Source organism: Homo sapiens, chromosome 1, assembly GCF_000001405.40.
Source record: "Homo sapiens chromosome 1, GRCh38.p14 Primary Assembly".
Taxonomy (NCBI): Eukaryota; Metazoa; Chordata; class Mammalia; order Primates; family Hominidae; genus Homo; species Homo sapiens.
The window spans coordinates 155,885,526-155,912,051 of NC_000001.11; the positions used below are offsets into that span (position 1 = coordinate 155,885,526).

General features: G+C 44.7%; 1 protein-coding gene and 1 pseudogene across 3 annotated transcripts; one reads left to right on the plus strand and one right to left on the minus strand.

Moving 5' to 3' along the window:
• Window positions 1-8,755: 8,755 nt before the first annotated feature.
• On the plus strand, window positions 8,756-8,861 carry LOC124904686 (uncharacterized; annotated as a pseudogene).
• RIT1 (Ras like without CAAX 1) lies at window positions 12,283-25,824 on the minus strand. Of its 3 annotated transcripts, none has more exons than NM_006912.6 (6): window positions 25,718-25,824; window positions 25,131-25,279; window positions 24,925-24,981; window positions 19,206-19,279; window positions 18,786-18,977; window positions 12,283-15,093 (listed from the first exon to the last, which is right to left on the minus strand). In NM_006912.6, exons 2-6 carry the CDS (start codon window positions 25,234-25,236, stop codon window positions 14,863-14,865), a joined length of 660 nt encoding a protein of 219 aa, NP_008843.1. In that variant the 5' UTR covers window positions 25,237-25,279; window positions 25,718-25,824; the 3' UTR covers window positions 12,283-14,862. The 3 variants fall into 3 exon arrangements, with proteins under 3 accessions (NP_008843.1, NP_001243750.1, NP_001243749.1); NM_001256821.2 differs by lacking the exon at window positions 25,718-25,824 and adding an exon at window positions 25,353-25,393; NM_001256820.2 differs by lacking the exon at window positions 25,131-25,279.

The window sequence follows — 26,526 nt, forward strand, 5'->3', positions numbered from 1 at the left end:
TTGGAAATATTTATCCCAAAAAGCAATCCTGAGACAGGCCAATTCTGTTCCCTCATTCATTCATTTACTTTTTTTTTTTTTTTTTTTTTTTTTTAGACAGTCTCGCTCTGTTGCCCAGGCTGGAGTGCAGTGGCTCAATCTCGGCTCACTGTAACATCCGCCTCCTGGGTTCCAGCGACCTCAAGCAGCTGGGACTACAGGTGCGTGCCACCAAGTTTGGCTAATATTTGTATTTTTAGTAGAGATGGGGGTCTCACCATATTGGCCAGGCTGGCCTGAAACTCCCGGCCTCAAGTTATCCTTCTGCCTTAGCCTCCCAAAGTGCTGGGATTACAGGCGTGAGCCACCGCACCCGGCCTCAAGGCCTGTCAGGAGCTATGAAGGATCTCCCTAGACCTGAACATGGGAGGATGTGGGGCTGAGGCTTCTGTAGTCACTGTGCCCCAGAGAGGAGAGAGCCTGAGAATGGAGCCTGCACAGAAGTACAGCTAAAACAGGGGGAGAGAGAAATCAGACTCCATGACATCTTTGACCTCAGATGAAGCCGTGTCTTCAGACAGATCTGAGCCTTCTCAGTTCCAAGGCTTAATAAATTACCTTTTTCTTTTCTTTTTTTTTTTTTTTTGAGATGGAGTCTGGCTTTGTCGCCGAGGCTGGAGTACAGTGGCGCAATCTTGGCTCACTGCAAGCTCTGCCTCCCGGGTTCACCCCATTCTCCTGCCTCAGCCTCCTGAGTAGCTGGGACTACAGGCGCCCGCCACTACGCCCGGCTAATGTTTTGTATTTTTAGTAGAGACGGAGTTTCACTGTGTTAGCCAAGATGGTCTTGATCTCCTGACCTTGTGATCCACCCACCTCGGCCTCCCAAAGTGCTGGGATTATAGGCGTGAGCCACTGCGCCCAGTCAAATTATCTTTTTCTTTATGCAGCTTGCACTGGGTTATGAAAGTTTAATTTCTGAGTGAAACATTAAATGGCAAAAGTTAATGTTTGATGTTTGGCTTGAATAATTTTCTTTCTTTCTTTCTTTCTTTTTTTTTTTTTTTGAGACAGAGTCTTGCTCTGTTGCCCAGGCTGGAGTGCAGTGGCGTGATCTCGGCTCACTACAAACTCCACCTTCCAGGTTCAAGCGATTCTCCTGCATCAGCCTCCTGAGTAGCTGGGACTACAGGAGGGCGCCACCATGCCCGGCTAATTTTTATATTTTTAGTAGAGACAGGATTTCAACATGTTGGTCAGGCTGGTCTCAAACTCCTGACTTCGTGATCCACCCGCCTCAGCCTCCCAAAGTGTTGGGATTATAGGTGTGAGCCACCACACCCAGCCATAATTTTTTTTTTCAACTTTCATTTTAGATTCAGGGGGGACACATGTGCAGGTTTTTGTTATCTGGCTTTATTGAGTGATGCTGGGATTTGGGATCCTAATGATCCTGTCACCTAGATACTTAGCATAGTACCCAGTTGTTCGTTTGTTTGTTTTAAAACAGTCACTCTATTGCCCAGGCTGGAATAGAGTGGCGCAATCATGGCTCACTACAGTCTCGACCTCCTGAGTTAAATTGATCCTCCTACCTCAGCCTCCCACATAACTGAGACTGGTGCACACCACCATACCTGGCTAATTTTTTTTTTTTTTTTTCTTGAGACAGAGTCTCACTCTATTGCCCAGGCTGGAGTGCAGTGGCACGATCTCGGCTCACTATAAACTCTGCCTCCCAGGTTCAAGCAATTCTTGTGCCTCAACCTCCTGAGTAGCTGGGATTACAGGCACGCACCACCTTGCCCGGCTAATTTTTGTATTTTTAGTAGAGATGAGGGTCTCACCATATTGGCCAGGATGGTCTTGAACTCCTGACCTCAGGTGACACACCTGCCTCGGCCTCCCAAAGTGCTGAGATTACAGGCTTGAGCCACTGTGCCCGGCCACCTGGCTAATTTTTAAATTTTGTTTTGTAGAGATGTGGCCCTCACTATCTTGGGAAGGCTGGTCTTTTTTTTTTTTCCGGGAGACAGAGTCTTGCTCTGTTGCCCAGGCTGGAGTGCAGTGGCATGATCTTGGCTCACAGCAACCTCCGCCTCCTGGGTTCAAGTGATTCTTGTGCCTCAGCCTCCTGAGTAGCTGGGATTGCAGGCATGCATCACCACACCCCGCTAATTTTTTTTTTTTTTTTTTTTGAGATGGAGTTTCACAATTGTTTCCCAGGCTGGAGCGCAATGGCACGATCTCGGCTCACCGCAACCTCCGCCTCCAGGTTCAAGCAATTCTCCCTGCCTCAGCCTCCCAAGTAGCTGGGATTACAGGCCCGCACCACTACGCCCGGCTAATTTTTGTATTTTTAGTAGAGACGGGGTTTCTCTGGTCTTGAACTCCTGACCTCAGGTGATCCACCCACCTTGGCCTCCCAAAGTGTAGGCCGATAGTTTTTAAACCCTCCCCCTTCTGGTAGTCCCCAGTCTCTATTGTTGCCGTTTCTGTGTCCATAAGTACTCAATGTTTAGCTCCCTCTTACTAGTAAGAACATGCAGTACTTGGTTTTCTGTTCCTGTGCTTAGGATAATGGCCTCTCATTCATTTATTAGTCAACAAATATTTATTTGAGTGTCTACTATGTGCCAGGCACTACAGATACAATACATTGGTGAACAAGAGTGCTGTTCTTGTAGAGTGTAGCAGAGGACAATATTAATCAAATAATTACACTAATAAATATATGATTACAAATTAGGAAATGCTCTAAAAGAAAAGAAACACAGGCCGGGTGCGGCGGCTCATTCCTGTAATCCCAGGACTTTGGGAGGCCAAGGCGGGCGGATCACCTGAGGTTGGGAGTTGGAGACCAGCCTGACCAACACGGAGAAACCCTGTCTCTACTAGAAATACAAAATTAGCTGGGCGTGGTGGCACATGCCTGTAATCCCAGCTACTTGGGAGGCTGAGGCAGGAGAATCGCTTGTACCTGGGAGGCAAAGGTTGCGGTGAGCCGAGATTGCGCCATTGCACTCCAGCCTGGGCAACAAGATCAAAACTCCATCTCAAAAAAAAAAAAGAAAGAAAGAAAGAAAAGAAACACAGGAAAATGCAACACTCTAGGGTAATATACTGGGGGTAATATGACCCTTGCAACTGCTCTTTGTGGATTTCTCTACATGCCTTAAAGTCTGGAGTGATTCACTTTTCATATTTTCTGTTCTGTGTAATTTATCCTCCCTGTGAGAGGAAGAGAGAATGGAAGGAGAATCAATTCCTGCTCTTTAAAAGTTTCAGTGAAGGAACTACAAAATATTTTCAAATTATAAACTAATATAAGCACATTATAAGAAAACTGGAGCAGGGCGCAGTGGCTCACGCCTGTAATCCCAGCACTTCGGGAGTCCGAGGCAGGCGGATCACAAGGTCAGGAGATCGAGACTATCATGGCTAACATGGTGAAACACTGTCTCTACTAAAAATACAAAAAAATTAGCCAGGCATGGTGGCATGCACCTGTAGTTCCAGCTACTTGGGAGGCTGAGACAGGAGAATCACTTGAACCCGGGAGGTGGAGGTTGCAGTGAGCTGAGATTGTGCCACCGCACTCCAGCCTGGGCAACAGAGCGAGACTCCATTTAAAAAAAAAAAAAAGAAAACTGGAACCAGATGCAGTAGCTCACAGCTGTCATCCCAGCACCTTGGGAGGCTGGGGCAGGAGGATTGCTTGAGCCCAGGAGTTCAAGACCAGCCTGGGCAACAGGGAGACCTTGTCTCTACAAAAGTCAAAAACTTAGCTAGGCATGGTGGCGTGTACCTGAAGTCCTGGCTACCTGGGAGGCTGAGGTGGGACATCCCTTGAGCCCAAGAGTTCAAGCCTTCTGTAAGCCATCATAGTGCCACTGCACTCCAGCCTGGGTGACAGAGTAAGACCTTGTCTCAAGAAAAAAGAAAAAATTGGAAAATAGAGAAAAGAAAAAAATAGTCAAGATTCCAAAATCTTAATAATTACTTTGTCTCTTTATTTTTTTATTTTTTATATTTATTTACTTATTTTTATAAATAGAGACAGGGTGTTGCTCTATTGACCATGGTCTCGAACTCCTGGTCTCAAGCTATCCTCCTGCCTCAGCTTCCCAAAATACTGGGATTACAGGCATGAGCCACCGTGCCTGGGCCCATTTTGTCTTCTGAGCTTATCTCTTGTGCATATTTTTCTTGATACATCACTCAGAATCAATGTAGAAAATATGTAAAATAAAGTTCAAGTCATAGAAATAGGGGGAAATCCACTCAGAGGCAAGCATTGCTAATTTTGGCACATCTTCCAATTTGTTTTAACTTATGATTGCAATCATGGTATGTATATCATTTTGTATATTACTTTTTTCTAGATGACTGTCTTAAAAATAACAACATCATCATATCACAATGATGGTAAGATTATCTTGGCACTCAGCATACTTTTGGCTACAATTAACAGGAAACCCATTTCAAGTTGGCTTAAACATTAAGAAAATGCATCAGCTAACCTAACTGGAAGTCCAAAGGTGGGGTAGCCTTCCAAGTTGACTTCTGCAAAAGGTCACTAATACTGTCAAGGACTCAGATTCTTTCCGTGGGTCCCCCCTGACATTCAATGTCAGCTTCATCCTGTGGCTTTCATCTGATGAACCACTCCCAAGGTTTCTTGCTTCCTCATTCACCGCCAGGTGGAAAGAGGAGATGGCTCAGGACCTTTCCCAGAAAAATAAGAGAGCCTTATTCCCAGAATAAATTCTGAAAAGCCTCTAGCAATCCTCTCGTCTGTTTTTCCTGATCCAAAATGTAACATGGTCATTTCTGAACCAAACATTGACAAGGAGGATGGAATTTTCTTTAGATCACTTAGGACTGTCCTGGAGCTGGGCACGGGAAAAAGGTGAATTCTTGAATGAAATGTCAGTTTTTCTGGAAGGAGGAATAGATGCTGGGCGGGCAGCCAACCAAGAGCACTGCAGTAGTCCACCCTACCCTAATCCTGGGTTTTGTTTTCTGCAGTTTCACTTACCCACAGTACAACACAATAAAATACTCTATTTTGAGAGAGACCACAGTCATGTAACTTTTATTACAGTGTATTTTTATAATTGTTCTATTTTATTAGACTGTTGATAATCTCTTACTGAATCTAATTTATAAATTTAACGTTATTATAGATACATGTGTATAGGAAAAAGTATACATAGGGTTCGATACTATCCATGATTTCAGGCATCCTCTGGGGATCTATGAATGTATCCCTTGTGGATAACCGGGAGCTACTGTGCCTTGTATTTTTGTTTGTTTGTTTTTTTGTTTTCGTTTTTGTTTTTGAGATGGAGTTTTGCTCTTGCTGCCCAGGCGGGTGTGCAATGGCGTGATCTCAGCTCACTCCCAGGTTTAAGCAATTCTTCTGCCTCAGCCTCCCGAGTAGCTGGGAATACAGGCATTGCACCACCACGCCCAGCTAATTTTGTATTTTTGGTAGAGAAGGGGTTTCACCAGGGTCAGGCTGGTCTCGAACTCCTGACCTCGTGATCCACCCACCTCGGCCTCCCAAAGTGCTGGGATTACAAGCGTGAGCCACCGCGCCCAGCCACTGTACCTTGTTTTCTATAGACCTCTCACTCCAAGGTGCTTTTTCATGTGATCTCCTTATAACAAACTCCCAGAAAAGAGTTGCCCACTATCAGCTGGGCACGGTGGCTCATGCCTGTAATCCCAGCACTTTGGAAGGCCGAGGCAGGTGGATCACGAGGTCAGGAGTTTGAGACCAGCCTGACCAACATGGTGAACCCCGTCTCTACTAAAAATACAAAAATTAGCCGGGCGTGGTGGCACACCCTGTAATCCCAACTACTCAGGAGGCTGAGGCAGGAGAATCGCTTGAACCCGGGAGGCAGAGGTTGCAGTGAGCCAAGATCACAGCATTGCATTCCAGCCTGGGCGACAGAGTGAGACTCCGTCTCAAAAAAAAAAAAAAAAAAAGACTAGTGCCCACCTAGTAAGGGCCTCCAGTACTGCTCTCATCCATCCCCCATACCTTGTGGTCTGAAAAGGCAAACAGCCTGGGCTTTTCTTTGAATACTTCAAGAGCAATGTAAGTTTACACATAGGGCATCATTTTTCAGAAAGCTGAGAAAATATCGATTCTTAACTAGTATAACTTTTACGAGACGGCAAACTGGTGAACATCCCAATTGCCTAACACTGTCTATACTAGGGTCAATACCACCTTCTGGACACCTCTAAGAAATGCTCAAAACTCTGTTTGGCCTTCAGGAAACAAAGTCCTAAAGGAAGTCCTAAGGCTCAACAGGCCCAGGATTAGATGCGCTAACAGAAAATTTTGAATAAAAGTATGGGAATTCATGAGCAAGTCTTGTGTCTAAGCCTGGGGAGCTGGTTAGTTCACCTCAAATACTACTTTTTTTTTTTGAGACAGAGTCCTGCTCTGCCACCCAGGCCGGATTGCAATGGCCTGATCTCAGCTCACTGCAACCGCTGCCTCCCAGGTTCAAGCAATTCTCCTGTCTCAGCCTCCCGAGTAGCTGGGATTACAGGCATGTGCCACCACACCCAGCTAATTTTTGTATTTTTAGTAGAGGCGGGGTTTCACCGTGTTGGCCAGGCTAGTCTCGAACTCCTGACCTCAGGTGATCCGCCCACCTCAGCCTCCCAAAGTGTTGGGATTACAGGCATGAGCCACCATGCCCAGACAGTACATTAAATCTCAATCTAATTGAAAGCCTCTGACAGGGCCATAAGGAGAAAAACTCATTTTCTTTCTTCTTATTTACATTTTGAGACAGGGTCTTGCTCTGTTGCCCAGTCCGGAGTGCAGTGACATGGTTCACTGCAGCCTTAGCCTCCTGGGCTTGGTTAATCCTCACACCTCACCCTCCCAAGTAGCTGAGTAGCTGGCATCACAGGCATGCACCACCACGACACACGTGCTACCACACCTGGCTAACTTAAAAAAATTTTCTGTGGAGACAGGCTGGTTGGAACTCCTGTGCTCAAGCAATCCTCTTGCCTCGGCCTCCCAAAGTGCTGGGATTACAGGCGTGAGCCACCACGCCCAGCCTATGTAGCTATCTGTCTGTCTGTCTATCTATCTATCTATCTATTTATCAATCAATCATCTATCTATCTATTGAGACAGGGTCTCACACTGTCACCCAGGCAGGTGTACAGCGGCACAATCATAGCTCATTGCAGCATCCACCTTCTGGGCTCAAGCAATCCTTCCACCTCAGCCTCTCAAGTAGCTGGGACTACAGGCACACACCAGCACACCCAGCTAGTTTTTAAATTTTTGTAGAGATGGGGGTCTTGCTATGTTGCCTATGCTAGTCTTGAACTTCTGGCTTCAAGTGACCGTACCACTTCAGCATTCCAAAGTGCTGAGTTTACAGGCATGAGCCACCACACCCGGATGAAACTGGATATTTTCATGATTTACATTCACTCACATCAAATCAGCTTCTTCTCAGGCTTTTTTCCAAGTTAACATTTAGTTATTGTTTACCAAGCAGTTGAAATTGCTATGTGTCCCTTACTCCTTCTCATTCTCCCACCATTCAATCCAAATCTGTGTCAGATTTTGCACGTTAGAATTAGAGGTGCCCACTGAAAAGAACTGAGACTCTAAGAACTGTGAGCTTTTTTTTAAATTCACTGTTGAATTCCCAATGCCAACACATTGCTTGGCATGCAGCGGATACCCAAGAAAGGCAGGCAGGCAGGGAACAAAATATTGTCTGGGAAGCAGACTTAAAGCAAACCTGAAAAGGCTGTCTCTTCTTCCTACTTATTCTGAGTTGGAGTTTCAAAAGAAGTTTGGTATAATGATCGGTTTTGGTTTTGTGTTTTTTGATGATGGTGGTAGGTGTGTGTTAGTTGCAACTAGACCCATGTATTTCTCTTCGGGAGTCTAAGGACATGAAAATAAGAGTGTCCAGAATGTTTTGGGTGGGAATGCACAATTTAATTCTCTGGCTGACTAGATTGATGTACATGCCTTCCTGGGCAGCAGAGATTTTATGTTGGATTGCAGTGTATTGAGCACTTGGACCCATCCTCATAAAAGCCATACATTTCTCTGCCTCTGCCCCCTCACCTGCACACTCCTCTGCCAGGAAACTAGGGAAAGCATTTTGTGGGAGATGTTTTGGAGCTAAAGTTTTTCTTCTGGCTCAGAGAAAACTGCAATAAACTCTGGCAATAACTAGCTCCAGGAAGGGCAGGAAATGACACATGTCCCCACTGCAGCAGCTTTTGTTCAAAAAACTGAGTGACTTCATGATATGATCACGTGTGCTGTGGAATGTATGCACTGAACCAAAAGCTGCTCATCATGAGTTTTTTTTTAAGCAAACATTATTAGATAAAGCTAAAACATTTCAGTAGTTTTGTCTCAAGGCCAACTCATGGTTTTTTGTTTGTTTGTTTGTTTTTGAGATGGAGTCTCGCTCTGTCGTACAAGCTGGAGTGCTGTGGCGCAATCTTGGCTCGCTGCAACCTCCACCTCCCGGGTTCAAGTGATTCTCCTGCCTCAGCCTCCCGAGTAACTGGGATTACAGGCGCGTACCACCATGCCTGGCTAATTTTTGTTGTATTTTTAGTAGAGATGGGGTTTCACCATGTTGGTCAGGCTGATCTTGAATCCCTGACCTTGTGATCTGTCCACCTCAGCCTTCCAAATTGCTGGGATTACAGGCGTGAGCCCTGTGCCTGGCATATGTTTAAAAGTTGATTGGACAGCTTTGTACAGTGACAGGATTATAGCCAATGAGGCATGATTATTGCTAATTGAAAACTTTTCCCAATACCCTGGCATTGGCAATTTTTGACAATCTCTATGGAGACTGAACTTAAAAAACAAAAGTTGATTGAAAAAAAATTTTTTTTTTTTTTTGAGATGGAGTCTTGCTGTCGCCCAGGCTGGAGGGCAGTGGCACGATCTTGGCTCACCGCAACCTCTGCCTCCCGGGTTCAAGCAATTCTCCTGCCTCAGCCTCCCAAGTAACTGGGATTACAGGCGCATGCCACCACACCCAGCTAATTTTGTATTTTTAGTAGAGACAGGGTTTCGCCATGTTGGCCAGGCTGGTCTTGAACTCCTGACCATAAGTGATCCATCTGCCTCAGCCTCCCAAAGTGATGGGATTACAGGCATGAGCCACCGTGCCTGGCAAGATTTCAAATTTCTGTACGAGTTTGGAAAAGGCATAACACTACCAATGACTTATTAGGAGTCTACTACATTTACTAATTCCTTCCTTTTTGAATTCCTATAACATTTCCAGTTTGAAGCATATGACTTATTACTTTAAGACTGACCTCTAGCTGTTTTATATATACAAATTTTATTTATTTTTTTGAGACGGAGTCTTGCTCTGTTGCCCAGGCTGGAGTGCAGTGGCATGATCTCAGCTCACAGCAAGCTCTGCCTCCCAGGTTCACACCATTCTCCTGCCTCAGCCTCCCGAGTAGCTGGGACTACAGGCGCCCGCCACCGCGCCTGGCTATTTTTTTTGTATTTTTAGTAGAGATGGGTTTCACCATGTTAGCCAGGATGGTCTCGATCTCCTGACCTCGTGATCCACCTACCTCAGCCTCCCAAAGTGCTGGGATTACAGGCGTGAGCCACCGCACCTGGCTACATATATAAATTTTATCTAAGCTCCAGAGCAGGAATAACATATATATATTTTTGGTGTATATATATATACAATATACATGTACAAAAAAAATATATATATACACTTTTTTTTTTTTAAATACAGAGTCTCACTGTTGCCCAGGCTGGAGTGCAGTGACACGATCCTGGCTCACTGTAACCTCCGCCCCCTGGGTTCAAGTGATTCTTGTGCCTCAGCCTCCAGAGTAGCTGGGATTACAGGTGTGGGCCACCACACCCAGCTAATTTTTTTTTTGTTTTGTATTTCAGTAGAGATGGGGTCTCACCATGTTTCTCAGCCTGGTCTCGAATTCCTAAGCTCAGGCAAACTGCCTACCTCCACCTCCCAAAGTGCTAGGATTACAGTCATGAGCCACTATGCCAGCCCGTATTCTATATTCCTCTGAATCCTTCACAGCTCTTTAAAACAGTGCTTAATACATGGAAGAGGCTTATAAATACTTCACCTGAAATTCCATTACTTATTCTAACAGAGGTTACATTAGAAAATGGAATGCCATTAAGTATGAGTAATTTAATCAAAGAGGGGAACAATTTTTTTTTTTTTTTGAGATAGAGTCTTGCTCTGTTGCCCAGGCTGGAGTGCAATGGCGCAATCTCAGCTCACCACAACCTCTGCCTCCCGGGTTCAAGCAATTCCAATTCTCTGCCTCAGCCTCCCGAGTAGCTGGGATTACAGGCGCCCACCACCACGCCCAGCTAATTTTTGTATCTTTAGTAGAGACAGGGTTTCACCATCTTGGCCAGGCTGGTCTTGAACTCCTGACCTCGTGATCCACCTGTCTTGGCCTCTCAAAGTACTGGGATTACAGGCATGAGCCACTGTGCCCGACCAGGGGAATGATTTTTTAAATCAAGTGAAGAAAAAAAAAAAAAAGAGACGGAAAGAAAAATGGAATGCCACTCCTCCAGTACCTGTTTCTAGTGGACACTGACAGTTACTGACCATTCAAAAATGTTAAATAGGCAGGGTGCAGTGCTCACACCTGCAATCCCAGCACTTTGGAGGCCAAGGCGGGCAGATCACTTGAGGCCAGGAGTTTGAGACCAGCCTGGCCAACATGGTGAAACCCTGTCTGTACTAAATATACAAAAAATTAGCCAGGCGTGGTAGCACATGCTTGTAATCCCAGCTACTTGGGAGGCTGAGGCACAAAGATCACTTGAACCCGGGAGGCAGAGGCTGCACTGAGCTGAGATGGTGTCCCTGCACTCCAGCCTGGGCGACAGAGTGAGACTGTTTCAAAAAAAAAAAAAAACTTAAATAATAATGAGGACATAAAAATCCACTCTTGGGCCAGGTGAGGTGGCTCAAGCCTGTAATCCCAGCACTTTGGAAGGCTGAGGCAGGAGGATTGCTTGAGGCCAGGAGTTTGAGACCCGCCTCTACAAAATATGTAAAAATTTGGCACGGCATGGTGGCATGTGCCCGTAGTCCCAGCTACTGAAGAGGCTGACGCAGGAGGATCTTTCACTTAAACCCAGGAGTTCAAGGTTACAGTGAGCCATGATCACACCACCGCACTCCAGCCTAGCAGACGGAGACTGTCTTTTTTAAACCAAAGACAGGCGAGATACAGTGACTCACACCTATAATCCCAGCACTTTGGGAGGCCGAGGAGGGTGGATCACTTGAGGTCAGGAGTTTGAGACCAACCTGGCCAACATGGCAAAACCATCTCTAATAAAAATACAAAAATTACCTGGTCGTGGTAGTGCGCACCTGTAATCCCAGCTACTCAGGAGGCTGAGATGGGAGAATCACTTGAACCTGGGGGGCAGGGGCTGCAGTGAGCCCAGATCACACCACTGCACTCCAGCCTGAGTGATAAGAGTAAGACTCTGTCTCAAAACAAAAAAATCCATTTGTTTAACGTTCAAATTAGGTCCTCTCTACCAACACTGGTGGCCATTTACAGTAATGGAGATTAAATGACCTTCAGGTAAAAAGTTATCATTCTTGGCTGGGTGCGGTGGCTCACACCTGTAATCCCAGCACTTTGGGAGGCTGAGGCGGGTGGATCACAAGGTCAGGAGATCAACACCATCCTGGCTAACATGGTGAAACCCCATCTCTACTAAAAAATACAAAAAATTAGCCAGGTGTGGTGGCGGGCGCCTGTAGTCCCAGCTACTTGGGAGGTTGAGGCAGGAGAATGGCGTGAACCCAGGAGGCGGAGCTTGCCGTGAGCCGAAATCGCGCCACTGTACTCCAGCCTGGGCGACAGAGCGAGATTCTGTCTCAAAAAAAAAAAAAAAAAAAAAATCATTCTTTCACTTTTCATTTAGTGTATTTACTTATAACAACTTTAAGTAACCCTTGATCAGGTAGCAAATGTGCTGTCATTTTCCATATGTGTTTTTCCTGTCTCCTCCCAAGAGGTAATCTCTTCAAATGAAGGGGGATTCCATGGCATGCTCCCTAGCACTTGACATGGGTGTCTTGTTCATGGTGGGCACTCAAATTTTTTGAATTCATATTTTCCAGAATATCACATCTCATGGTTATGTTTTTCTGAAAACAACTCTTTTGCAATGATTCCAAAAACTCTACCCACTGATAGGGAAGCAAAGGAAAGCCCAAGTTGTTTAAAAGTTTTGTATTATGTCATACAAACTGTCTTCACATACAAGTGCATTAAAAAAATTATCCCCCCCTCCTCCTCCCCAAACATCACAGTAGACCAATTCTTGCTAATATATGACAAAGTTAAAACATATGTCCCCTCTGAATTCTAAACAGCTAATTCTAGACACTAACATCTGGATCTTATAATTTACCGGTCTGGTATGGACATGAACAGTTCCAGTGCCTTTCAACTTATCCCTGAATTTTTCTCTTCTCAAAGTTCTAGGCAGTAATTTTAATGCCCTCAAATTAGATAAAGCTGATTACTTAGAGCTTATAAATTAGCTACACTTTATGACACTAAGAATAGAGCTATGACTTATGCATATCATACCTGTCAAGCTACCTAGCACCACGAATAGAACTAATATTAATGGATGGACTAATACAAGGATCTAATATATGACAGTGATAGTCTTAAAAACACCGATTTGTTATTTTCCTTATATATAATCCAAATTCCTTTCTATCCTTCTGGCAATGTTTCTACTGCCTGACTACCTTAAATAACTATATAGTGTCAATTTCTTGCTTGGGCCAGGTGGTGGCTCATGCCTGTAATCCCAGCATATTGGGAGGATTGCTTGAGCCTAGGAGTTCGAGATCAGCCTGGGCAACATAGTGAAACCTCATCTCTATTTAAAAAAAAAAAAAAAAAAAAAAAAAAATATATATATATATATATATATATATCTCTTAATGTTAATAACAATTCCCTAGGTCACTAGTAATAAGAAGCTATGGGCTTTAAACTTAAAAGGTGCTAAACCAGTTTAAATGTAAAACATTCTCATAATAGAATTGCACTGTATTTCTTTTCTACTTTGATGCTTTTCCAAAGTGCTATAGTTCCTGTGAGATTTGTGTCCTGCACAGAATCAAATGCTAGGTCTTTCACTTTTGGATGGCTGAGTACCATAAAACATGATTTATTTGGTAACAAAAATGTTTCCAGGAGTTTAAAAAGGGACCACTACTCAGAGCTAAAAAAGTTCTAACAGTCACTTTTTAAAAAAGCTAGTTTATCATTTGTTTATAAAGAAAAACACAACTCTGTCCTACTTCCTCTAATAAAAATGGAAAATATTAAGATGAGCTGTGTGCTTATAAAGAGGTGCTACACAAGTCATCTTACGTTTCTAGTCAACACAAACATTGCTTCAGTGACACTTAATATTCAATACATGATGCATTACTCTTAGCATTTTTGCATTTACTCTCCGCATATAACAAGGTCAGATATCAAAACAGTCCTGATCTTAGACAACTCACTACCAATATTTAAAGCTGTTTCCTCCTAGGACTACAGTTCCTAAACTATGCACAGGGAGCAAAGTGGTATTCCCTTAGGATAAACTTGGTCAAGGCTCAGATAACCCTGAGATGAACTTAGCAAAGTCCTTGTAAAGAAATCTTCAGATGGGAAACTCCACCTATGTGAATTTTAAAGCTTTAAGACTGACCCATTCAACAGAAATAGCAGATTTTCTCAGAGCACTGAGTCTAGTGATTGTCCACGTCAAGGAGGCACACACACAATTTTACCCACACCCCTGATGTCTCTTCTGTATGGAAAATGCAATCAGTGATGAAGGGCCGAAAAAACATCTTGCCAGCTGTAGCTCTTTTACAGAGCACAAAGTGGGAGGAAGCAATGAATATAAATGTGTTGGTGTGTGCGTCTGTGGGGAAAAAATAAACCTGTACAAGGCAATGGCTGATCCAACTATGAATTTTGATTAAACACGTTTAGTAATACAGTTATGATTCCCAAAATGTCTACCTTTGAAGGTAAAAAAAAAAAGAAAACCCTGAAATGAAGAGTAAAATAAGGTTCCCAGGAGAAACCTTCATCACATTTTATGCTTCTGGCTGTTCTCACTTATCCCGGTGAATTTGGGCCAAATGTGTACTTCTTAGAAAAGCGAAGCTTGTACTGAGAATACTGTTCTGAACCTACCTTTTTAAGTCCCTGCAAACATATAGCCCAACTTTCCCAAATCTCACCACTCCATAGTCTGCAACAGGTGTCAGCCTCACAGGTATCTGCTGAAATTTGGCACTGATCTCATTAGCCCCAATTTCCCTACATGATTTTTGTTCTGTCTCTAGGAAGCATAGTGTGAATAGAAGAGACTGAGGTCTTTCTCTGGGATAGTCCCAGGAAATTGAAATTAAAGGATAATGTGGAGTGCAGAGCCAAAAACTTCCCTTGTGAACTTAGTCAAACACACATGGTATACATATTCTCCTGGGTATAAACAAATTTACATTAATTAATAGCGCAACAGAACCCAAAACATTGGTAGAACAAATTCTAATGTGACAATTTAAAAGCAGACAGTGCTCCACTGGGTTAATAAATCATACTTAACTAAGAGACAATACTTTAAATACCACATCATTAAAAACTCCTAGTAGGCATGTCCCTCTTATCAGTTAAGTGAAAGAGCAAGCACCATACTCAGTACTGCAGGTTACTGGACTGCTTTGATACAGCACTGCAGTTCACAGATAAACACTTCACATCTTCTCTTCAAGTTACTGAATCTTTCTTCTTCCGGAATGGTGATTTTAGCCTCTTCCATACACTGTTTTTGGGCTTAGATTTTTTCTCCATGGCCAGTACTGCCTCCTTTTCTTTCCTACGTATCTCCCGTACAAGGGCATGGAAAACATCATCAATATAGTAGCGGTATGCAGCAGATGTCTCAAAAAAGGGACAGCTGAATTCTCGGGCCAAGGCCAATCCTTCTTCCTTGGTGACCTTTAAGGGCAAAATGTGAGAAAAGATAACAGTGAAAAACAATTAAATTGTCCAAAAACCTGAATGCACCACCACCTTAACACAAAGAAAGCTTCTCAATTCTGGAGGTGTTCAAGCATACAGCACTAATTTTTGTAATTTTAGGCTAGATTACTTCTAAGGTTTCTTATTCTGCCTTCAAATGATATGATTCTATTTCTAGTCTACTTTTTTTTTTGAGACAGAGTTGCGTTCTTGTTGCCCAGATTGGAGTGCAATGGCATGATTGTGGCTCACAACCTCGGCCTCCCGGGTTCAAGTGATTCTCCTGCCTCAGCCTCCTGAGTAGCTGAGATTACAGGCATGCGCCACCACACCTGGCTAATTTTGTATTTTTAGTAGAGACGGGGTTTCTCCATGTTGGTCAGGCTGGTTGTAAACTCCTGACCTCAGGTGATCTGCCCACCTCGGCCTCCCAAAGTACTGGGATTACAGGCGTCGGCCACTGTGCCCGGTCTCTAGTCTATTTTTAAGATACTTTTTGGAACAGGGAATAGTTTTAGATATCAAATACACAATCTTAATTTTCCCCATACTTTTTATTTTAAGAAAGATAAATAGGCTGGGCTTGGTGGCTCACACCTGTAATTCCAGAACTTTGGGAGGCTAAGGTAGGAGGATTGCTTGAGCCCAGGAACTTGAGACCAAGCTGGGCAATATGGTGAGACCCTACTTTTACAAAATTTTTAAAAATTTAGCTGGGGCCAGGAGCGGTGGCTCACGCCTGTAATCCCAACACTTTGGGAGGCTGAGGCAGGTGGATCACTTGAGGTCTGGGGTTCGAGACCAACCTGGTCAACATGGCAAAACCCTGTCTCCACTTAAAAAAAACTAGCTGGGCATGGTGTTGGGCACCTGTAATCCCAGTTACTCGTGAGGCTGAGGCAGGAGAATCGCTTAAACCTGGGAGGCGGAGGTTACAGTGAGCCAAGATCGCGGCACTGCACTCCAGGTGTCACACTCCAGCCTGGGTGACAGAGCCAGACTCTGTCTCAAAAAAAGAAAAAAAAATTAGTTGGATGTGGTGGTATACACCTGTGGTCCCAGCTACTCAGGAGGCTAAGGTAAGAGGATCACTTGAGCCCAGGAGGTCAAGGCTGCGGTAAGCCATGTTTGCGCCACTGCACTCCAGCCTCAGTGACAGAGCAAGACCCTGTCTCAAGAAAAAAAAAAGTTGGGTGCGGTGGCTCATGCCTGTAATCCCAGCACTTTGGGAGGCTGAAGCAGGCAGGCAGATCACCTGAGGTCAGGAGTTCAAGACCAGCATGGCCAACACGGTGAAACCCCATCTCTACTAAAATAAGAAAGAAACACTAAACAATACAACCATGAAACTGATCACCGGGATTGCAAATCTAATTGGGAAAAGAGTTGAGCAAACAGCTTGGACTGTTTGGAGTTGTTGCCTTACTTTTTAATATGTATTTATAAAGTATTCCAGCAAAAGAGGATGTAGCCTCTGGGAAAAAACAAACATGTTACAGTGTTTTTTGTAGATTCTCGTTCTATATCTCATCACAGTGCCAGCCCTGTTTTTAGCCGGAAAGGATTCAGGAGAAACATTATTATGCATTCTGAACTGGATGCATATTCCTAACTACTGTATTTGTTACCAAAAGTGGTTCTACAAATGCTACTGAAAAAAATCTGGAAATTCCTAATGTCCTGAGTATTAATAATAAAGTTTAAAAATGCTTTTATATCAAAAAAAAAAAAAAGAAAAGAAAAATTAGCTGGGCATGGTGGCAGGCGCCTGTAATCCCAGCTACTTGGGAGGCTGAGGCAGGAGAATTGCTTGAACCCAGGAGGCAGAGGTTGCAGTGAGCCAACATCATGCCACTGCACTCCAGCCTGGGTGATAAGAGTGAAACTCTGTCTAAAAAACAACACAAAACAAAAAAACGCTGGGTGTGGTGGCTCACATCTATAATCCCAGCACTTTGGGAGGCCAAGGTAGGTGGATCACCTGATGTCAGGACTTCAAGACCAGCCCGGCCAACATGGTGAAACCCCGTCTCTACTAAAATACAAAAATTAGCTGGATGTGGTGGCAGGCACATGTAATCCTAGCTACTCAGGAGGCTGAGGCAGGAGAATCGCTTGAACTCAGGAGTCAGAGAGGTTGCAGTGAGCCTAGATTGCGCCACTGCACTCCAGCCTGGGCAACAGAGTGAGACTCTGTCTCAAAACAACAAAATTAAAATAAAAATTAAAAAAAAAGAAAGCTGGGCGCGGTGGCTCACGCCTGTAATCCCAGCACTTTGGGAGGCCGAGGTGGGAAGATCATGAGGTCAGGAGTTTGAGACCAGCCTGACCAACATGGTGAAACCCCGTCTCTACTTAAAAATACAAAAATTAGGCCGGGCGCGGTGGCTCATGCCTGTAATCCCAGCACTTTGGGAGGCCGAGGCAGGCTGATCACGAGGTCAGGAGATCGAGACCATCCTGGCTAACACGGTGAAACCCCATCTCACTAAAAATACAAAAAATTAGCCAGGCATGGTGGCGGACACCTGTAGTCCCAGCTACTCGGGAGGCTGAGGCAGAAGAATGGCATGAACCTGGGAGGCAGAGCTTGCAGTGAGCAGAGATCGTGCCACTGCACGCCAGCCTGGGCGACAGACAAGACTCCGTCTCAAAAAAAAATTAGCCGGGCGTGGTGGCATGCGCCTGTAATCCCAGCTACTCAGGAGGCTAAGGCAGGAGACTCACTTGAACCCAGGAGGAGGAGGTTGCAGTGAGCCGAGATTGTGCCACTGCACTCCAGCCAAGGCAACAGAGTGAGACTCTGTCTCAAAAAAAAAAAAAAAAAAAAAAGAAAGAAACACAAAGGGAGGGAAAGAGATATATGCTTACACTAAAATATTGAAAACTATTAGGAGCCCATAATTGATACATCTAATTATGGATATGCCATAATTTCTACTTTTGGACAGCTAGATTGTTTCTCATTTTCTTCTACCATAAATAGTCTTGCAATGAACATGTTATATATAAATCCCTATAAATTTTTTCCAATGGAGATTAACAGAGAAGCATTATGAATTTGACTACTATCAAACTACTTCCAGCCAGGCGCTGTGGCTCACACTTGTAATCCCAACACTTTGGGAGGCCAAGGCAGGAGGATCACTTGAGTCCAGGTGTTCAAGATCAGCCTGGGCAACATAGTGAGATCCTGTCTCCACAAAAAGTAAAAACAATTAGCTGGGAGTGGTGGCACACGCCTGTGGTCCCAGCTACCCTCAAAGCTGAACTGGGATGATTGCTTGAGCTGGGGAGGTAGAGGCTGCAGTAAGCTGTAGCCCCAACCTCACTGCAACCTCCACCTCCCCAGGTCAAGGGATCCTCCCACCTCAGCCTCCCAACTAGCTGGGACCACATGTGCATGCACCACTATGCCCAGCTATGTTTTTTTGTATTTTTTGTAGAGATGGGGTTTCGCCATGTTGCTCAGGCTGGTCTCAAACTCCTGACCTTAAGCAACCTGCCCACCTTGGCCCCGCAAAGTACTGGTGTGAGCCACCTCACCCAGCCTGATTTTCTATTTTAAGGCAAAAAAATCTGTAAGCCAAGCCAAGAATCTGTAAGCCAAGAAACAAAAATGACTAATTGTATAAGATTATAGACAGTATTTTCTTCTCTATCCTCACCTGTCTTAGCTGTTTGAGGTCTGACTTGTTTCCCACAAGAACCACAGGTGTATCGTCAGTACGTCGGACTCGATAAATAAGCTGTTTAAACTCACGAACTTCATGGAAACTTCGACGATCCGTGATAGAGTAACAGATGATAAACCCTTCTCCTGCCCTCATATACTGGTCCCGCATGGCTGTAAACTCTGCCTAGAGGGAAACAAGGGTCATTATGTATTGACGCAATCTAGCCCAACTACACACACAATTAGCTATTTCTTTCAGATTAAAGAAAACGCATGTCGATTACCTGCTATCCTGAGTCAGAGTGCATGAAAAATTAAGAGAGATAAACTATTGATCTTCTCTGTGTAGGCCTTCCCCTCCCCTTTGCTAGAGTAAAAAAGCCTTTACTCATAACATTCTGGGATTTAATACCTGTCCAGCTGTATCCAAAATGTCCAGATTGGCAGGCTCATCATCAATACGGATCCTGATCTTATAAGCATCTTCTACAGGAGGGAAGAAAGGTGTACTATAAAGTCATAAATGCCGGAAGAAATGCCTATTTAAAACTCATCTTACAGAGTAGTACATTGTATCCAAATTCATTAAATGCCCACATTTTCTCAGGAAGCATGCTAAATCCACTGAGATACATAAACTGAGTCTTCAACTGAAGTTTTTTTTTCCACATAGGTGATGATGTAGTTTATTCACAGCTGAAGATTTCACCTACAATTCTAAGCTAAAAAAGGATTCTGAGAAGATGTCTTTCTTAAAAAAATTAGGCTATCTGGGCACAGTGGTGACTGCCTATAATCCCAGCTACTTGGGAGACTGAGACAGGAGTATTGTTTGAGCCCAGGAGTTCAAGACCAGCCTGGGCAACACAGCAACAGCTCATCTTTTTTTTTTTTTCTTGAGACAGGGTCTCACTGTCACCCAGGCTGGAGTGCAGTGGTGCAATTTCGGTTCACTGTAGCCTTGACTTCCCAGGCTCCAGTGATTCTCCCACCTTGGCCTCCCAAGTAGCTGGAACTACAGGCGTGCTACCACCATGTCTGGCTAATTTTTTTGTATTTTTGGTAGACATAGGATTTTGCAATGTTGTCCAGGCTAGTCTCGAACTCCTGGGTTGAAACAATCCTCCTGCCTTGGCCTCCCAAAGTGCTGGTATTACAGGTGTGGGCCACTGCACTCAGCCGAGACCCCATCTCTTAGGGGAAAAAAAAAATTAGGCCTGAAAAGTAACTTTACCATTTATTAAATTGTTATTATCTACCAGACATTATACTAAGTAACTTATATATATTAATTCTTCAATAATCACAATAATCCAATGAAGTAGGCATTATTACCTCCATTTTACAGCTAAAGAAAATTCAACTTGAAAATATTAATGTCTTCTCTAAATTAGTTAATTAGTGACAGAATGAGGATTAAAATCCAAGATTGCTGAACTGAAAAGCATTATTAACCATGTGTTATACTTCCTCCTCAATACTACAAAAAAGGAAAAAAATATATAATTCACTATTTTTTTTTTTTTTGAGACAGGCTCTCACTCTATCACCCAGACTGGAGTGCAGTGGCATGATCTCGGCTCACCACAACTTCTGCCTCCCAGGCTCAAGGGATTCTCCTGCCTCAGCCTCCTGAGTAGCTGGGATTACAGGCACATGCCACTATTGCCCGGCTAATTTTTGTATTTTTAGTATAGACAGGGTTTCACCATGTTGGCCAGGCTGGTCTTGAACGCCTGACCTCAAATGATCCACCTGCCTCAGCCTCCCAAAGTGTTGGGATTACAGGCGTGAGCCACTGCACCCGGTCTAACTGACTATTTTCTAAATAATCCACAGTTTCGTAATTTCTCTTTTCTGAAAGCAAATTTCTTTATGCATATTACTATAGTAACCTTGGAAAATATAGAAAACTAAAAAGAAAAAAAAAGCCACGCAATATTTCATTCACTTAACAACTGCTGCTTACATCTCAATGTATTTCCTTTTAACATTTTTTCTTGAATTCCTGCTTCTGTCTCTTCCTCAAAGATGAAGAGCTCATTAAATCAATGCTTCTCAATTATTCATTAGGATTAGTGAGTTGTGAAATCTACTTAATGGGCCGGGACCAGCATTAAAATAAACAAGCAGAAACCTAAATAAAAATAGAAAATACCAGGCCAGGCACAGTGGTTCATGCCTGTAATCCCAGCACTTTGGGAGGCTGAGGCGGGTGGATCACCTGAGGTCAGGAGTTCAAGACCAGCCTGGCTAATGTGGTGAAACCCCATCTCTACTAAAAATACAAAAATTATCTGGATGTGGTCACAGGCGCCTGTAATCCCAGCTACTTGGGAGGCTGAGGCAGGAGAATCGCTTGAACTGGGAGGTGGAGGTTGCAGTGAGCCAAGATTGTGCCACTGGACTCTAGCCTGGGCAACAGGAGTGAAATTCTCCGTCTCAAAAAAAAAAAAAAAAAAAAAAGAAAAAAAGAAAAAAAAAGAAAGAAAATACCAGAGTGGGTGAGGTACAGTGGCTCTCACGCCTGTAATCTCAGTGCTTTGGGAGGTCCAGGTGGGAGGATCACTTGCGCTCAGGAGTTTGAGACCAGCCTGGGCAATAGAGCGAGACCTCATCTCTACTAAAAATCCAAAAATATTAGCTGGGCTTAGTGGCCTACGCCTGCAGTCCCAGGTATTTGGTAGGGTGAGGCGGGAGGATCACCTGAACCCAGGAGGTCCAGGCTGCAGTGAGCCAAGATCACAACACTGCACTCCAGCATGGGCAACAGAGTGAGACCCTGTCTCAAAAAAAAAGAAAAGAAAAGAAAATATCAGAGTGCACCAGATGTAGTGAGGTAAAGTTTCATAATATTTTAGCTACACATACACATGCGCTTGTGTATATAATTTATATATACATATGCACACATTCATATGCTTTTTTTTTTTTTTTTTGAGGCAAAGTCTCACTCTGTCGCTCAGGGCGGAGTGCAGTGGTGCAATCTCGGCTCACTGCAACCTCTGCCTTCTGGGTTCAAGGAATTCTCCCACCTCAGCTTCCTGAGTAGCTGGGATTACAGGCATGCAGCAGTAACACGCCCAGCTAATTTTTGTATTTTCAGTAGAGATGGGGTTTTACCATGTTGGCCAGGCTGGTCTTGAACTCCTGACCTCAGGTGCCTTGGCCTCCTAAAGTGCTTCGATTACAGGATTGCAGGCTCAGGATTACAGGCGTAAGCCTCCGCACCCGGCCTTGTATGCTTTTATATCTCTACCAGTTACAATGTAAAGTTTTTCTGAGTTTACAGCCAGAGCTTGAAATCAAATGCACTAAATTAGAAACTCAAGAACAGAAACCTCATCTTTTTGATCACCACTGTACCCTGAGGGTAAGCAGTGCTTGGCACATAATAGAAACTCAGAAGACATAAGTATTTGCTGTTGAATCAGATAATATTGCCAGGAGAGTAGTTAACTGGAGGAAAATTGATTAAAACAGATAACTTGGCCGGATGCGGTGGCTCACGCCTGTAATCCCAGCACTTTGGGAGGCCGAGGCGGACGGATCACAAGGTCAGGAGATCGAGACCATCCTGGCTAACACGGTGAAACCCCGTCTCTACTAAAAATACAAAAAATTAGCCAGGCGAGGTGGCGGGTGCCTGTAGTCCCAGCTACGCTGGAGCCTGAGGCAGGAGAATGGCATGAACCCCGGGGGGGCGGAGCCTGCAGTGAGCCGAGATCATGCCACTGCACTCTAGCCTGGGCGACAGTGAGACTCCATCTAAAAAAAAAAAACAAAAAAAAAAATACAGATAACTCTTACAGGAGACGAGTATTTGAGTTTTACTTTAAAGAAAGGGAAAGACGCGGCCGGGCACGGTGGCTCACGCCTGTAATCCCAGCACTTTGGGAGGCCAAGGCAGACAGATCACGAGGTCAGGAGATCGAGACCATCCTGGCTAACACAGTGAAACCCTGTCTCTACTAAAGGTACAAAAAATTAGCCGGGCGTGGTGATGGGCCCCTGTAGTCCCAGCTACTCAGGAGGCTGAGGCAGGAGAATGGCGTGAACCCGGGAGGCGGAGCTTGCAGTGAGCCAAGACGGCGCCACTGCACTCCAGCCTGGATGACAGAGTCAGACTCTGTCTCAAAAAAAAAGAAAGGAAAAGATGCTTTTGGAGTTCTCAAGTACATATGCGTAAGCCCTAAATTCATTTTATTCCTAGAACTCCCGCCATAATTTGAATCTCTGAACAATTTTTTTTTTTTTTTTTGAGACAAAAGCTTGCTCTTATCCCCCAGGCTGGAGTGTGATGGCACTATCTCGGCTCACTGCAACCTCCGCCTCCCAGGTTCAAGCAATTCTCCTGCCTCAGCCCCCGCAGTAGCTGGGATTACAGGCACCCAGCACCACGCCCGGCTAGTTTTGGTATTTTTAGTAGAGATGGGGTTTCACCATGTTGGCCAGGCTGGTCTCGAACTCCTGACCTCAGGTGCTCCACCCGCCTCGACCTCTCAAAGTGCTGGGATTACAGGCATGAGCCACCGCGCCTGGCCTGAATCTCTGAACAGTGTTCTAAATTTGATATAGTACATGAAAAAGTCAAGACTTTTTCTATTTTTCCCATCCCTGGAATCATGTGCTCTATGAAATGACCATATCAAAGCTGGGCCACCACAAAACATTATTGGCTTTGCGGGAAACAGAGCAGCAGAGGCCTGACCCAATGGAAATCCTTCCTAGAGAACTAGGATCATGGCAAAGAGTGTCACATACTGAAAATAATAAGGCCCGGCGCAGTGGTCACGCCTGTAATCCCAGCACTTTGGGAGTCCGAGGTGGGCAGATCACGAGGTCAGGAGATTGAGACCATCCTGGCTAACACGGTGAAATCCCATCTCTACTAAAAATACAAAAAAAAATTAGCCGGGCTTGGTGGCGGGCGCCTGTAGTCCCAGATACTCGGGAGGCTGAGGCAGGAGAATGGCATGAACCTGGGAGGTGGAGCTTGTAGTGAGCCGAGATTGTGCCACCGCACTCCAGCCCGGGCAACAGGGTGAGACACCGTCTCCAAAAAAAAAAACAAAAAAAGAAAATAACAGTACAGCTGACTTTCTGTGCCCTCTCCCATTCCCACATCCATTTTTCTTTCATATTAGGATATAAACCCTTAGAATCAAACCTGCTTCCTTATGGTTTAGGAATGACAGTAATGTTCTTAGTCTTTGTAGAGATTAGCAATTAAAAAATAAAAAAGTCAAAGCAAACAAAATGACTTTTTTACTCTATTAGCGTTCTGCAACAAGAGTTAAGGACCATAAAAGACATCGGAGGGCTAGGCACAGTGGCTCACGCCTGTAATCCCAGTACTTTTCGAGGCTGAGGTGGATGGATTACTTGAGGTCAGGAGTTTGAGACCAGCCTGGCCAACATAGTGAAATCCCATCTCTACTAAAAATACAAAAATTAGCCGGGTGTGGTGGCAGATGCCTGTAATCCCAGCTACTCAGGAGGCTGAGGCAGGAGAATTGCTTGAACCCGGGAGGCGGAGGTTACAGTGACCGGAGATCGCACCATTGCCCTCCAGCCTGGGAGACAGTGCGAGACTCCATCTCAAAAAAAAAAAAAAAACAACAGACAGACATGGGAGAAGACATTACTACGTAATGAACTTAAGGTATAAGGAAGTAAACCAAGAGCTCCAAGTGCAAGATGTCCAGGCTTGGCATGTCTGGGTTGTAAGAGTTCAGCAGCCTGGCTCTACTTGTTTCTCTGCTTCCTTTTGTGGAAGTTCAAACCAGCTGACTCACAGTTACAGAGCGAGTCTCAAGTCATACCCTTAGAGAAGTGACAGCAAGAAAAGGCTTCGTTAAGTGGCCTGTATACAACCATAAAAAAATACAACAAAGAGAGTTGTCCCATTAATGTTCAGTAAGAGACAAAGACTAAAGATGGCTTATGACATAAAGTCTGAAAAAAAAAGAAATATTCAGTTGCTTACCAACTGCTGATACCCTTGTTTCTAAATAAATCTGAATTAGACTCCAAAAAAGCCTCAAAATATAAATAGTTAGAAACTACTGATATTCATTAAGATATTTTTATGGGGTATATTTGGAAACATAAGTGATGATCTGGCTTACCAATGGTGGGATCATGATCTTCTGGGAATCGGTGGCTGATGAACTGCATGGTCATGGCTTCAAAAGAAGAAATAAAAGTCAAATCCTCACAAAGGTGACCCACAGAGAGAATTTTAAGTATTAACATTGCAAGATAGCAAGTATCCCATCTGGTCATTTAAGTACTTTTCATCCATGCTTCCTGTCAAATGGAAAATGTTACCTACCACTCTTCCCTACACCACCAGCACCCAGCATCACTAGTTTGTACTCCCGTGAGAGCCCAGCGGGGCTGCTACAGCAGCTACCAACTGGGCGAGTTCCAGAATCCATTGTCCTCTTGGGGCCTTCCTCGGTTGCCCCGAGGAAAAGCCACCTAGAAAAGGAGGAGGAAATGCTTAATCCAGGATGGAGACACCACGGCGACAGCCCTCAAGCCAGTGCCTTACCTTTCCATACATATTCTGGCCTGTCCCTCTTACTCTGGCCTGTCCCTCTTGCTCACCACTGCACCCTTTCGGGTGGCCCTAAGAAACCCCCCCATCTTCACCCTCCCTCCTAGACAGTTCAGTCACATGACACATCACAGGTTTTACTTTTTCCAAAGAGAAAAATAAAAAGATACAAATAAATTTACGTCTCGGCACAGTAGGGACAAGGAGAAAGTTTTGGGAAGAAAGGGATGCGGCCCCTTAGGCCGCAGGGGTTCTCTCACGTCTGCGGTACCCAGAGGTTCCGCCCCCTCCCCATTCTCCTCCGAACCCCCTCCCCACCCCCAGCTGCTGCTCCGCCGCCAGACTCCCCACCCCTCTACCTCACAAGCCGACGCCCTGCTGCTCCTACTGGTCAGTGGGGACTGGAACACCACAGCCGGTCGGGTCACGCACTTCGTCTTCCTTCACTCGCGGAGGCTCCGGCACTGACCTGTGACCCCTCCCGCAACCGAGTAAGATGGCGCCACCGGCGCCCGAGTCGCGGAAGGAGGGGCGGGGCCACTCAGTGACGCCCACAGCCTGCCCCGCCCTCTTCCCGCCCCTCCCAGGTCCCTAAAACCCAGTTCCGGGACCCACCGCTGAAGGTCCTCTGGTCACCTACCCAACCTAGGGTGTATGCACTCACAGACAAGGGTATTTAATCACGAGTAGAAAGTAAATTATTTACACAAAAGGGAAGGGAGTACGTGATAAGAGACATGCAGGGACACTTAAATTAACAACTTACCGAGGGTTGTTTGCTGCTTGTGGGAAAAAAAAAAACCCAAAACTAATTTGACCCAATGTAATGAGAGGAAGGGAGGACAGGGGCACCCCCCAAATCCTCCTAAAACACAGGATTTCAGTCAAGTCTACCGGGGATGACTACTCATAGGAGAAAAATGACTTTCCTAAAGGAGCGGCCACAATGACTTTTGCTATTGAAACCTAAATTCATTCTCAGAAACCAGATGTTCACAACACTCCCTAATCAGAGTTCTGTATGTATTTTAAACACGTATAAGACACACAAAAACTTGTTTTAAATAAATGTACCACACTCTGGCAGGAAAGAGAGCTCTGAGTTAACAGAGGCCTTGAGTTAAATACAGAACTGAAGCGCAGCCACTATAACCATATTCCCCTCTAT

Bases quoted from the DNA above. Each gene is read 5' to 3' on its own strand.
- RIT1 (NM_001256821.2), bottom strand. The intron at 19,280-24,924 runs GTAAGCCAGATC...TCCCTCCTGTAG, and splicing joins AGATCATGATCCCACCATTG to AAGATGCTTATAAGATCAGG. The intron at 18,978-19,205 runs GTATTAAATCCC...GTTTCCCTCTAG, and splicing joins TTTTGGATACAGCTGGACAG to GCAGAGTTTACAGCCATGCG.